The 13,503-nt window shown below is 52.1% G+C and overlaps 1 protein-coding gene across 2 annotated transcripts in view, besides 3 other annotated features; it reads right to left on the bottom strand.

The window, feature by feature from the left end:
* LINC02210-CRHR1 (LINC02210-CRHR1 readthrough) overlaps window positions 1-13,503 on the bottom strand; it is a 215,483-nt gene that overhangs the window by 79,309 nt on the left and 122,671 nt on the right. The gene's annotated exons all lie outside the window — the stretch shown is intronic.
* Window positions 3,976-4,887: an enhancer, noted in NCBI's record as "H3K4me1 hESC enhancer chr17:43828999-43829910 (GRCh37/hg19 assembly coordinates)". NCBI's record gives its function as "activates a minimal SCP1, AML or CMV promoter by ChIP-STARR-seq in primed H9 embryonic stem cells {active_cell/tissue: H9 hESC(primed)}" and the evidence as "EXISTENCE:reporter gene assay evidence [ECO:0000049][PMID:30033119]".
* Window positions 9,678-10,343: an enhancer, noted in NCBI's record as "OCT4-NANOG-H3K4me1 hESC enhancer chr17:43823543-43824208 (GRCh37/hg19 assembly coordinates)". NCBI's record gives its function as "activates a minimal SCP1, AML or CMV promoter by ChIP-STARR-seq in primed H9 embryonic stem cells {active_cell/tissue: H9 hESC(primed)}" and the evidence as "EXISTENCE:reporter gene assay evidence [ECO:0000049][PMID:30033119]".
* Window positions 10,344-11,010: an enhancer, noted in NCBI's record as "OCT4-NANOG-H3K4me1 hESC enhancer chr17:43822876-43823542 (GRCh37/hg19 assembly coordinates)". NCBI's record gives its function as "activates a minimal SCP1, AML or CMV promoter by ChIP-STARR-seq in naive H9 embryonic stem cells {active_cell/tissue: H9 hESC(naive)}" and the evidence as "EXISTENCE:reporter gene assay evidence [ECO:0000049][PMID:30033119]".

The following is a 13,503-nucleotide window of genomic DNA, read 5'->3' as shown; positions in this document are numbered from 1 at the left end:
CAGCCAGTATGGGCACACGGAGAAGCAGACCCAGAAATGAGGCCAGGTCCAGGGTGGCAGGCAGGCTGGGGAGGCAGTGCGGGACAAGTCCACAAGTGGTGAATGCTTATTGGTATAAGAAGGCAGGGAGCCTGGGAACTGCCCAAACACGGATGCTGGCCATGGAGATGGAGAGGAACCAGAAAGAGCTTCCAGAGACCCTCCGGCCCTGGAGGGTGGGGGACTCTAAGACACAGCCTCCAAAATACGAATTTCAGAGTCTGCTGATTGGCCTGATCCCCCAAATCTCTGAGACATAACCAATCCCACAAACACCCACTTGAGCCAACTCAAATCTGCTCTCAAATTGGGGTTCTGGGAAGGAGGCACGAGGGAGCTTTTCCTCTAAATTCCAGGGCCACCCCATTCCTGTCAGTCGGGACCTCAGCCGTGGGAGTTAGTGATGCCCATGGTCCTGGGGTCCTCTTCGGTTCCCTTCTTGACCCCAAGCAGCCCCTGGAGTCTGGGAGGGGGCCTCTCTCTCTGCCTGGAAAATCAGCCCCAGGCCCTGAAGTGCCAGAGCTAGGAGGGGCCTTGAGCTCTGTGGTCCAACTCCCTCATTAACAGAGAGAAACTGAGGCCTGGAGAAGCCAGAGACCTGCCCAGGGGTGGGTGCTGGAATCTAATCTCATCCCATGGTTCTTTCTATTTGACACGCTGCCCAGCATGGAGGAGGCGCTCTGTATATACAGGTTGAAAAACTGTATGACCCAATGGATGAATGGATACATGGCTGGGTGGCTGGGCAGATGGTGGATGGATAGGCTGCCTCCTATCTTTAGAAGAGGAGCAAGTACCTCCTCCTGATTTCCTGTGGTGTGGTTAGCTCTGCAGACCATACCTTGGAAATTTATGAATAAACAAAATGATTAGATGCCACCCAGAAGTGTATAACACACTACACAGTGGCGACCAAATTGGCTTTAGGAACAGGAAACTCTGCCAGACCAATTTAATTTTCTCTCCCGTGATAGAATGATGGACCTCATCAGTAAGGGATGGGAAGGCAGCTGTCATCGATCTTGATTTCAGGGCGGCTGTGGGTTCTGTCCTACATGACATTCTCATCAACTTGCCAAGGAAACACTGTCTGTTCCAGCCTCCCCTGGGGATGAATGACTGGCCCCAAGGCTTTATGCCCGAGGCCCTGTCCCCATGTCAACTCCCCATGGGCACCCGGCTCCCATTCAGATGCTGCCTGTGCACACCTGGTCCAGCAAGGGCTGGCCCGAGTGTGCTCACACGCAGAGAACAGGATAATGTCTGGATGCAGATGTGTACACATGAGCATGTGGATAGAGACAGGCGTGCACATGACACACAAATACACACATGTATTTGCAAACATGTGTGTGTTATACCAAGGTCAGCACCCAGGTATCAGCCATACATGAGCCCAAGGCAGCTGCGATTGAGCCTGAGGAAGTGGCGGAGGTGGGAAAGGGTTAGCCAGGGACAGCACAGGGCTGAATTGTTGATCGAGTGCAGATCCACGCTCTAAAGAAGTGCTGTCCGATAGAAACAGAACTCCAGCCGTGTATATAATTTTAAATTTTCCAGTAGCCACATTGAAAAGTAAACAGAAAACAGATGAAATCAATTTTAAGATATATTTTTGCTTATTGTATTAGCTCAATAGATCCTAAATATGATCGTTTCAACATGTAATCAATAAAAATTATTAATGAGAATGTTATTCTTTTTTTTGCTTTCTTTTATACATATGGCAACTATGGGGGCGCTAATTCACACACAAGGATTTCACTGGATAAGCTAGATCTGCAGTTAGATTTTGTTAAATTTACAGTCGAAAAGGTAGGTTCACATACCCAAGTTGTTCCAAACATATTTAAAAGGGTTTTTGTTGTTGTTGTTTGAGACAGGTTCTTGCTCTATCACCCAGGCTAGAGTGCAGTGGCAAAATCATGGCTCACTGCAGACTCAAACTCCTGGTCTCAAGCGATCCTCCCACCTCAGCCTCCCAAGTAGCTGGGACTACATGCGTGCACCACCATGCCTGGCTCATTTTTTTATTTTTTGTAGGAATGAGATCATGCTATGTTGTCCAGGCTGGTCTCAAACTCCTGGCCTCAAGCAATCCTCCCACCTTTTAGGCTACCACACCCAGCCTAAAAGTTTTTCAATAACCGAATTGATTATCAGTTTTAAAATCTAGGTTAATGCAAATCAAATTAAAAGTGTAGTTCCCCAGTGGCACCAGCCCCCTTCCCAGTGTCCCCAGCCACAGGCGGCAGCTGGCTCCCACAGTGGGCAGCGGGTCGGCAGCCTTGAGGGGAAGGGGGGAAGAGAAAGGGTCAAATGGGTGTGGGGGTGGTAGGAGGCTGGGCTTAGGGGAGGTGGGGGCGGGCGATGGGTGGAGTGGAAGGGGAAGGAGGGGAATGAGGGCCCTGCAGAGCTGGAAGCTGCAGGGTTTCCCTATGGCTGCTCCAGGAGCAAAAGGGGGTGGCAAAGAGGCAGAGAGGATGCTGAGGCTGGATGAGCTATTGTTAGCCTCCTGTGGGTATCTCCAGCCCCCAGGACACAGCCCAAAGCCCCTTACCTCTCCGGGAGGAATCCTAGGGCTGCCTATGAGCTTGGCCAGGCTCTGCCCACCTCCTTCGCCACAACTCTTCCCACCTCAGTCCCTACCCACAGGTCCCCCTATCTCCACCTGCCATGTGGGCAAGGTATTGCTGCTCCAGCTCCACTAGAGGGTTGGCTGCCCACACCTGGACGGGCCCTGGTGACTTCAGCACCCTTGGCAGAAATAGGGAATGACAGGGAATTGCCTTGGGGGTGGGTTTAGAGCAGGTTCTGGTTTGAGATGTGCTGGATTTGGGGGGCCTGTGGGAGGTTCTGAGGAGAGTCCAGCAGGTGGCTGGAAACGCTGGACCTGAGTTCTGGAAGACAGGCACGAGGGAGCTCTTCCATGGAGGAAGGCACACAGCCACGAGCACACACGGCTCACTCCTTCCCCCATCCATGCGCACACGGCTCACTCCCTCCCCCATCCATGCGCACACGGCTCACTCCCTCCCCCATCCATGCGCACACGGCTCACTCCTTCCCCCATCCATGCGCACACGGCTCACTCCTTCCCCCATCCATGCGCACACGGCTCACTCCTTCCCCTGTGCAGCCACTTCCTTGCCCCGGCCAGTCTCCCCACACCTGCCCCAGAGGTGGTTACCCAGAATCTTTGTCCCGTCCCGGGGTTCCCCTAGTTCCCCCCCAACCTCAGCAGCAAATCTGCTCTCAAATTGGGGTTCAAAGGGGAAGTGCCCAGGCATTGGGATTGGTCCCAGGGATGGAAGTGCCCAGGCATTGGGATTGGTCCCAGGGATGGGAGTGTCAGCACTTAGGGAGGCCATGGTGGAGGAGTCTGGGGCCAGAGAGGGCAGGTGTGGTCTCAAGGAGAAAGGGTTGGGTCAACAGAGTCCCTGGCCCTGGCATATGTCCCCTCACCCAGTTCTGGTTATCTGTGGATGTACGTATGGCACACATAACCCCAATCTCAGTGCCTTAAAACAATACTTTGCTTTTATCATGTCTCACGATTCTGTGGATCAGGAACCTGGACAGGGCACAGAGGGAATGGCTCCTCTCTGCCCCTGGATGTTTATGGCTGAAGCTCGGATGGCTCAAATGGCTGGGAACAGGAATGGGGGGCCAGACAGGTCTCCACCCTCTTCCCCCTACAGTCTCTCCTCGTGGCCACCTTGGGCTTCCTCACTGCATGGAGGTCTCTGGGTGCCAAGAGTCTCTAGAGTTCCAGGCAGAAGCTGCAAGGTTCTTAGGACGTTGCCTTAGAAATCCTGAACATCACTTCCGCCACATTTTATAGGTTGCGCAAATCACTAGGGAGAAGCCCTGATTCAAGCAGAGGGGAGGCACAGATTCCACCCCTCAACGGGAGGAGTGACAAGTGACACTGAAAAGGAGAGAATGGAAGGCAGCCATGCTGGGATCATGCCACCCCCCGCCAGCTGCCACTCACCTGAGGGCAGCAGCTGTGTGTTTTACCCCCTCTCCCATGTTAGTCAACCTGACAACCTTCCTGTCACTGTCACTGCCTTCTGCATGGAGGCCGCAGCCTCAGTAACATGTCAGAATGCTTGTCTCACCTACTTAGCTGGAAATGTAAACCCTTCAAGGTCGAGACGGTCTCTTTTACGCCTTGCTGTCCTGGCTTTGACATTTTGGGTGTTTTGTTTCCTGAATCAGCGCTCCTCGACTGGACTCATTGGTCTTCTGCACCAGATACCCCCAGCTCCTCAACACATCCTTATTGAGTATCCTGGTCCCTGGCCCTCTGGAGTGGAAAGAGGTCCTAGCACCTCACCACCAGAGCCCAGGTGCTGGCCCAGATGGAGGTGGAGGATGGAGAGGAGCATACCCCAGGGGCTGTGGCCATGGCAGGCCTTGGAGCCCTCGGTGCTGGCGGCCACCTGGATTTATGCCTCTCTTGGGGATATGTGCCCTATGTGTCTACCTGGCCCCCACCGCTGCATTTCAGTGTTGTTGTCCTGGCCTTACAATGCAAACTGTGTTAGAGGATTACACTGTTTCTGGGAGAAAATTTAAAAGAAAAGATAAACAGCAAAAAACAGGGAGGGGACTCATAGTACCTTTAAATAAACTACTTTGTCAAAATATTTCTAAATAATGACGACTAGGATAAATCTACATTCAAGTCCTTGCACAGAAATCCAGGCAGCGGTGTGCTGAGAAGGCGAGGCATCCCAATGTGTTCTTGCCCCCGGCGGAATGCCACAGAACAATGAGGCTGGGCGGTGCAGAGCACAAACTGTTGATGGAAAAGACGATTTCTGCTCAGGAGGGCAGGGGCTTGCCTCTATCTGGGTCCTTTTCATTGCTCTACAAAGAATCCTTTCTTCCTCCCAGGCCGCACTAAGTAATAACAACTGGGGACTTTTCTCACGCCAACTTCTGAGCCGCTTCAAGTGTCATCTGGTTACCCATAAAATTCATACCTGGAATAGTGTCTTTGACCTTGGGCAAGTGTGCGTGTTGCCTGGCTCTTTCGCGGGATTCTGGGAGAGATCTCTCGGAGAGATGATGCTGAAATGTTGGCGGGTCGTGTGTATACTGTGGATTTTGTAGAGTACATAGTTTTTCCTTTTGGCCGCTGTTAGATTGGGGAAACCATGTGTTTCTCAGAAGGAGGAGCACAGGCCCTCTCCCTCCGCATTCCCGGGCACGCTGGCCCGGCTTCTCCAGCGTTTCCCTGCACTACAGGGAGCACCGTGTCCTGTGGGTGCTGCTGTACCTGGGTCTCCACCCACCAGTCTTCCGTCCCTGCAGGTCTTGGGTCCCTGGAATAATTTGCCTTGTCCCCCTCTGGGTTTCTGTGTTCATCTGAGCATGCTTTGCTGCCCTAGCTTTGATAATTTGAGGACTTTGCCTCCAGAATAGGTGCTCTTCACCTGGTACCGGTGGCCTTTGGCCACCCAGCCCCTGAGTGTCACTGTGTCTTACTGAGTGGGACAGTGGCAAGGGCCCAGCCGGCTTGGGAATGGGGGCTGGATCTGAATTCAGTCTCCACCACTCACTGGCTATGGGATCCAGGCAGGGTATTCAAGAAGCCTGGGCTTCTGTCTGCTCATCTCTAAAAAGGGGCTCATAAAATCCTCCTTACAGGGTTGGTGTGAGGATGATGATGCTTGCATGCCAATGGTCTGGCCCTCTGAAAGTGTCCAATAAATGACAGCTCTTGTTCCTCCCCTCGCCTTTACTGCTGAAGGCAGCAGTGGGCAGTCACTCCACACACCCTAACTATTAACTGTCTGGCCCAGGCCTCTGGAAACAAGCGCAACCCAAAGAGGCTAATTGAGAGGGGTGAGGGAGAAGTGATCTAGCCATCATGGAACCCCTATGTCTGGGTATTTTGCTGGGAGCTCCAGTTATCTCATTTAATCCTCAAAGATCCCTAAGAGAGAGGCACTACTACTATGATCATTTCAAAAAAAGAGGGACTTGGGGCTCACGGCAGAAGGTAGGTGTAGACGTAGACGGCTGTAGAGCTGGGATCCAAACCCAAGACTGGAACTGGGACCAAGGTGAAGGTTGGGTTTCAAAGAACTAAGAAGATAACAGGTGACTGGATACAGAATCTACCAACCCCCAGAAATACCCTCCATCTGGAAACAGGATTGAGGTAGGCGGATCCTACAGATGTAAGCAGATTGGCCCCCACTGTAGGGTGGGGCAGGGAGGCAGGCAGGCCTCTGGAGGCCTGTGGGGTCTATGGCACTGTGGCTGGCACAAATTCTACACATAAGGACTTGTTTACCCACCTGCTCTCTCTGCACAGTCTCTCAGAGCAGGGGCATCTGTGCCAGGAGGCAGGAGCAGCAGGCAGTATGGGGCCAATGGAGAGAGGTCCTTCAGCCTCTGGGACAGCACACCATGGCCTGTTCAGTCCTTGCCTGCTACCTGCTTCCCAGTTCCCTGTCCTTCTCCCTTCCATCCTGCAGATATCTCCCCAGCCTCTCTTCTCTCACCAACTCTCTGTACTTCTGACATTATTCCCTCCTTCCTCCCACTGGGATCTGAGGCCCAGAGAAGTGCCTCACTGGTCCGGGCACACAGCGAGTCTACTGCCTGGACCTGCTTTCGGACATGCTGAGATTCCGTCCCCTGCCCCGTGTCCTAGCGGGGCTGCTGCCTCATCCTCCCCCAGAGGCGAGATGGCACAGCCCCTTCAATGACAATGTCTCTCCTCCCATTACCGGGAACAGCCTCACTGACTGGCTGTCATAGAACTTTTGCAGCCTCAGGGGAACATGAGCTATCTCCCATCTCCCCAAGCTGTGAAACTGAAATACAGAAATAAAAGCCTTTCCTCAGGGGCCCTTCATCTCTTGGCAAATCGTGGTTAAGGAGCCCTCTTCCCTTGTCACAACTGCCCGGCTCAGGTTTAAAGCTGAGGGCACAGCAGACAAAGAGGGTAGGACGGGCACAGACCAAGCCACCATGGTGCCTGCTGAGTCCTGCAGTTCCGGCCTGACCCATGATAGGGGTAGGGAGGCAGACAGGCCTTTAGAGGCCTGCGGGGTCTACGACACTGTGGTTGGCACAAGTTCTATACATTAAGACTCGTTAACCCACCTGCCAGCTCAGCATAGGGCTCCTGGGCTAGGGGCACCCATGCTAAGAGGCTGGATTGAGAGATGGTGGCAGAGAGAACGAAACGTAACAGAGGAATAAACACTGGGCTTTAACATCAGGTGATACTCTCCCCGTCAATTATCCCGGTGGAGCTAGGGGATGGAGAGGACAGCTGCTGCAGCCTCGGCTCCCTTAGAGAGCAGACCCCAAGCCCTGGCTGTCCCACCCCACCGTCCCATGACTGGGCCAGCTGCTCTCAGGAGTCCCCTGGGAGTTCCCAAGCGAGCACCCAGGCCTCTTGCTTTGAGATTAGGCATTCCACTGTTTGCATTTGCTCTTAAGAAGGAAGTCACATCCAGAGACCTGTCTCTGGTGCTGAGTAACTCCCAGACTTGATGAGAGTCATTCGTCGCTCTCATTAACAGGGAGAGGCTGCCCAGACTTATGCAGCTGCATGTGATGAACAGGGCTGGGCACAACCACCCCAAACCGTGGACCGGGAGCTTCCCACAGGGCTGGAGGAGAAGCTCCAGGAGAAGTCTTGGAGTTTGAAGAAGCAAGACTTTCAGCTGGATGAGTCCCATCCAGTCCTGCTCTTAGCTAGCACCTGCTCTTAGAGGATATGTAAGGAGCCAATGTAACTGAAGAGTTAACACTGGGCTTTGGTATCCAGTGACTTTGGGTTCAAATCCTGGCTCTGCTACTTCCTATAGGTAACCTGACTTTTCTGAGCTGCTTCATCCTTATCGGTATGGAGGTGAGAGTAAGAGCAGTTTCACAGTTTCCATGCAGATCAAGTGAGGTCAAGCTGTAAAGCCTCCGGTGCACAGGCCATCAGTGCACAAAACTGGGCATTTATTACTGAGATGTTGCACAGGGCAGAGCACAGCGTGTGTTGGACAAATTTGCCTCATGAGGGTGAGAAAATTCTGGGCTGAGGCTTCTCAACAACCAGGGCAGCTTCTCCCTCCTTCATCGTCCTAGGGAAGACCCCCAGGGCATCTTTGGAATTTGGAGACACCTCATCTCCCAGCAGATAAAACGCAGGACTTGCACTTGGGAACTTAGGCCCCCAACAGACTCCCCCAGCAGTAGCAGAGGCAGGCCCCTCACATGCCCAGGGCAGGACCCAGAGACACAGACAGACGCTCCTTGGAGGAGCTGGAAACTGTCGGGTTCCTCTCACACAGACTCTGCAATGACGTCTGGAGCAGATGGCAGGGGCGGATGTTCCTGGCTGGGTTGACAGAGCCTCATGTGCCTGGAAATTCCCCCAGTTCCGGGGGATCCCTTCCAGATGTTCCCACCCACAGCCTGGCTGAGGAGGAACAGTGGGGAGCTAAGAAGCCAGGGCTGGAAAGCTGAGCCAGCCTTCTGCACAGAAAGGCAGGCAGCCACCCAGGAGACCAGTCCAGAGTCCCCAGTGTCCTCAATACCCAGCCACCTCCACCAACACCTCCCTAGGGTTCCATATTAGAGAGCCATTCCTTCGAACATGTCATTGCTATCTCAGGAGGGATAACACATAAAACCCCTTGCCACTCAAACTATGGCCTAGCAACATTAGGCATCATTTGTTGGAATCTCAGGCCCATCCCTGATCTCCTGAATGAGAATGTGCATTTTAACAAGATGCCCAAGTGATCCCATATGCACCTCTAGGTTGGAGAAGTGCTGCGTTAAGCTGCTATTGTCCACTCACTTTCTGAAATGCAAGCTCCACAAGGATATGGATTCTTTGTTTTGTTTACTATATCACACCCAAAGAGTCCCTTAAACAGAACTCATTAAATGCTTTTTGAGGCCAGGTGTGGTGGCTCATGCCTATAATCCCAGCACTTTGGAAAACCAAGGTGGGAGGAGTGGTTGAGGCCAAAAGTTTGAGACCAGCCTGGTCAACAGTTCCTACAAAAAATTTTTAAAAATTAGCTGGGCATGGCAACACTTGCCTGTAGTTTCAGCTACTTGGGAGGCCGAGGCAGGAGGATTGGTTGAGCTTAGGAGTTGGAGGCTGCAATGACCTATGATCATGCCACTTCACTCCAGCCTGGGTGACTAAGACCCTGTCTCTAAGGAAAAAAAAAAAAGCTTTTTGAATAAAATGAATTATTTAGATTATTTAGGGCTTAGTTTCCCATAGCACAGAGAGGCAGGTACACAGCATAGGTAAGTTTTTTTTTTTTTTTTTTTTTTTTTGGTTGTTGTTGTTTCGGTTTTGGATTTTTTTGGAGACGGAGTCTCACTCTGTCACCCAGGCTGGAGTGCAGTGGCACAATCTTGGCTCAGTGCAACCTCCACCTCCCAGGTTTAAGCAGTTCTCCTGCCTCAGCCTCACAAATAGCTGAGATTACAGGTACCTGCCACCACACCAGGCTAATTTTTGTATTTTTAGTAGTGACGGGGTTTTGCCATGTTGGCCAGGCTGGTCTTGAACTCCTGATCTCAGGTGATCTGCCCACCTCAGCCTCCCAAAGTGCTGGGATTACAGGTGTGAGCCACCGTACCCGGCCAGCACAGGTAAGTGGAAGGAGAAGAAATTAGAATGGGTCATCCCAGGGTCCAAGGCACTCCCAGGGTGAGGGGTAGGAAAGGAGGAGAAGGGCAAGGAAAGAAGAAGTGTGGTGGCCCCAGCCATCTGTATAATGAATGACTGTATAATCATCTGTATAATGAATGACTCCCAGCACTAGAAGTGCAAGTGGCACTTGGGAGGAAATAGGACAAACCCCTTCTCCTAGATATCCTCTTCCTCTGTCTCCACCTTCATCAGGCCTCTCTGGAGCCCTGTCCCTAGCGGCCCCTCTTACGACCCCTCAGAACCCCGATGCCTGCCAAGATCCTGAGTACACTTCAAGCTTCTCCTGGGAAGGCACGTTCAGCGGCTGTACCCTCTGCCTCCCCATGAGGAGCTCTGGTTGATGTGGGAGGGTCCTTGGGGGCGACAGGCCCCAGCACTGACCCTGGCCCATTTCCGAGCACATGGGCTTCTTCCCACCCCACTCCCAGCAGAGCCTCCGGGCCAGGCAGGCTAGCTTTCTCTGAGGCTCAGGTCACCTGGGGCTACAGATGCTCCCTCCACAGTTGTGCCCCAGCCTCAGCCCAGGAGCTCAGCAGGAGAATCACCCAGTGATTGGCAAGCTGAGCCCTCTATTTGCAGTGGGGAAAGCTGAGGCCCAGGGCGATGAAACCACATGGCCAAGTTCACACAGCTGGAATGGCAGGAATGCATGCCCAGGGCCCTGCCTCTTGGATGGGTGCACTCTCTGGCTCACATTTGGATAGCTTAGGTGTTCCTCCTCTGGGTACCCTAGCATCTAGAGCCTGACAATGAGTAGGTGCTCAGTTATTGTGGAATGAATGAAAGAGAAGCAAAGAACCCCACTGGGAGCTAAGAGAATGACAATGGCAGTAAAGGCCACTGTTTATCTGTGCTCAGCACTTTACACAGGCTGTTTCTTTGAAGACTTACAACAACCCTCTGGGAGAAGCACTGTTATCATTCCCGACTACATATAAAGAAACCAAAGCTCTCAGGGATTAAGACATGAACCTCAATCATGCCTGAGCTGGGATTTCAACACGTTTCTGCCCAGAACTCTAAAGCCCCAGTCCTCATCAGGATGCCGTGCCGCTTTCTTGTTGGCGAACTCTTTTCTTTGAAAGAGGCCACTGCAGCCCAGATGGCTCTGGCAGAGGCTCTGAGCTGGATGAGTTTGTAATTCACTTTGATGACAAGCAGAATGTGTCCCCACTGGCTCACCAAGGAGCCTGGGATGTCAAGGAATTCTTCTTTCTGAATCCCACTCCTCACCTGGGATGCCCCAAATCCCCCCTATTCGTTCTCAGTGGTGGCTTCCATTTAAATTGAAGCTCTTCTGCAGGACCTCGCTGACCCTTCAATCTGAAATAGCACCCCACCCACCCCACTCTCTCCATCCCCCCTACCGCTTCATCCTTCTCAGCACAAAGCATCACCTGACAATATCGTGCAGCTGTGTTTGCATTTTAACTGTCTCCTCACTTGGATGGGACCTCCATGCAGGCAAGGACATCGGCTCCTTTACTGCTCTGTCCTCAGGGCCTGGCATGTAGCGAGTGCTCATTACACACTGCCTGCATGAATGAACCCTCAGAGCATAACACATAAAATAGCACTTTTCTAAATCAGCACCCCTGTGTAGTAATCCCGTGAAAGATGGGCCTCCAGGAATTTGCTAATAAAGTAAAGGGCCAGTATCTGCCAGATGCTGACTTTCTTCTTCTTCTTCCTCTTTTTTTTTTTGAGAGAGTCTCACTTTGTTGCCCAGGCTGGAGTGCAATGATGCAATCTCAGCTCACTGCAACCTCCGCCTCCCGGGCTCAAGTGATTCTCCAGCTTCAGCCTCCCTAGTAGCTTAGATTCCAGGTGTGCACCACCACACCCAGCTAATTTTTGTATTTTTTGTGGTGACAGGGTTTCACCATGTTGGCCAGGCTGGTTTCAAACTCCTGACCTCAGGTTATCCACCCACCTCGGCCTCCCAAAGTGCTAGGATTACAGTCATGAGCCACCATGCCTGGGCCAGAGGTTGACTTTCAATAAATCACAGTGGGGCCAGGCATGGTGGCTCACACCTGTAATCCCAACACTTTGGGAAGCCAAGGCAGAAGAAGCACTTGAGCCCAAGAGTTCAAGACCAGCCTAGGCTCCGTCTCTACAAAAAGTCAAAAATTAGCTGGGCGTGGTGGCACATACCTGTGGTCTCAGCTACCTTGGGAGGCTGAGGTGGGAGGATCTCTTGAGCCCAGGAGGTTGAGGCTGCAGTGAGCCATGATTGTGCCACTGCACTTCTGCCTGGGTGGCAGAGTGAGACCCTGTCTCAAAATACAAATAAATAAATAAAGTTTAAAAAATAAATAAATCACAGCAGATCCATGTGCTCACACATTGAATGTGTACTGAGCACCTCCTTGTGCCAGGAAGTGTGTTAGACTCTGGGCATATTTCCGTGAACAAGTCATGCCCCCGCCCCAACACACCACCCAAAGAGGTTATTTTAGTGGAGGAGATGGACATTCAATAATCCCCCCAAATAGATATTGATTCTGCATTGTGCTAGTGCTGGAGCTGATCAGGGGCCTGGTAGGAAGGGGACAGGTTTGAGGCTTGCCCCCTGACAAGGACACTGGCACTGAATGGCACTCACGTGTGTCTTCCTGAGTGGCAGTAAAGGGGCCAGGGCAGCAGCTGGCATGCCCAGAGCTGTGTTCACCCCAGAGTGTGGGTTTGGCAGAGGAGCAACATCCCTCATGCCAGCTGCAGGGAGAGAGGCTTGGTAAGTGCTGGGAGAAAGCTTTTCTCCAGGAAAGGCTGACCCCCACAGGGTCGCAGGGTCTGGGGCTCTGCCTCACAGCATTAGGGGGTCTCACAAGTTACCTACAGGAACCTCACTCCACCCTCAGTCTGGGCTCCAGGAGCCCGCTTCTCTAGCTGGAAAACAAGATATGTAACAAGATCTGCTTCCCTACAGGCACTGAGAATATTAGACAGATCTGAGGGGCCGAGCCCTGTGCCTGGCTGGCAGGAGTGACCTGTGTGGGTCTCTAAATGCAGGAGTGGTGGACATTCCTGGGATGTGCAGTGGGCAGAGGTCACAGTGCAGTGAAGGGCCAATGCAAGGGCATATTAAAGGGACTGGGGTTGTTCCACCTGGAGAGCAGATGGTTCTCAATGTGCCTCAGTTTCTGAGTCTGTAAAATGGGTCACCAACCAGTTGTTTTCACACAAAGGGCAGGAAAAGAAGTGGACTTTAACTAATGAGAAAGATTTGCAGTCAGATAAGCGGAGAAATTTCTTAAACCTCAGAGAAAATAAATGTCGGGTGATATGGTTTGGCTGTGTCCCCACCCAAATCTCATCTTGAATTGTAACTCCCACAATTCCCACGTGTCATGGGAGGAACCCGGTGGGAGGTGATTGAATTATGGGGGCGGGTCTTTCCTGTGCTGTTCTCATGATAGTGAATGACTCTCATGAGATCTGATGGTTTTAAAACATGGGAGTTTGCCTGCATAAGCTCACTCTGTTTGTCTGCCACCATCCACGTAAGATGTGACTTGCTCCTCCTTGCCTTCCACAATGATTGTGAGGCTTCCCCAGCCACATAGAACTGTAAGTCCAATTAAACCTCTTTCTTTTGTAAATTGCCCGGTCTCGGGTATTTCTTTATCAGCAGCATGAAAGCAGACTAATACACTGGGTACACTGGGATAAACCAATGAGAGGAACAGGTGGAATTCCTTGGAAACAGAATTATAAAGCTGGAAGGAAAGTCATACCTCACCCCCTCCCTT

Source organism: Homo sapiens, chromosome 17 (assembly GCF_000001405.40).
Source record: "Homo sapiens chromosome 17, GRCh38.p14 Primary Assembly".
NCBI classification, from domain to species: Eukaryota; Metazoa; Chordata; class Mammalia; order Primates; family Hominidae; genus Homo; species Homo sapiens.
The sequence above is the reverse complement of the archived record's forward strand: the minus strand, read 5'-3'. Positions and strand labels throughout refer to the sequence as shown.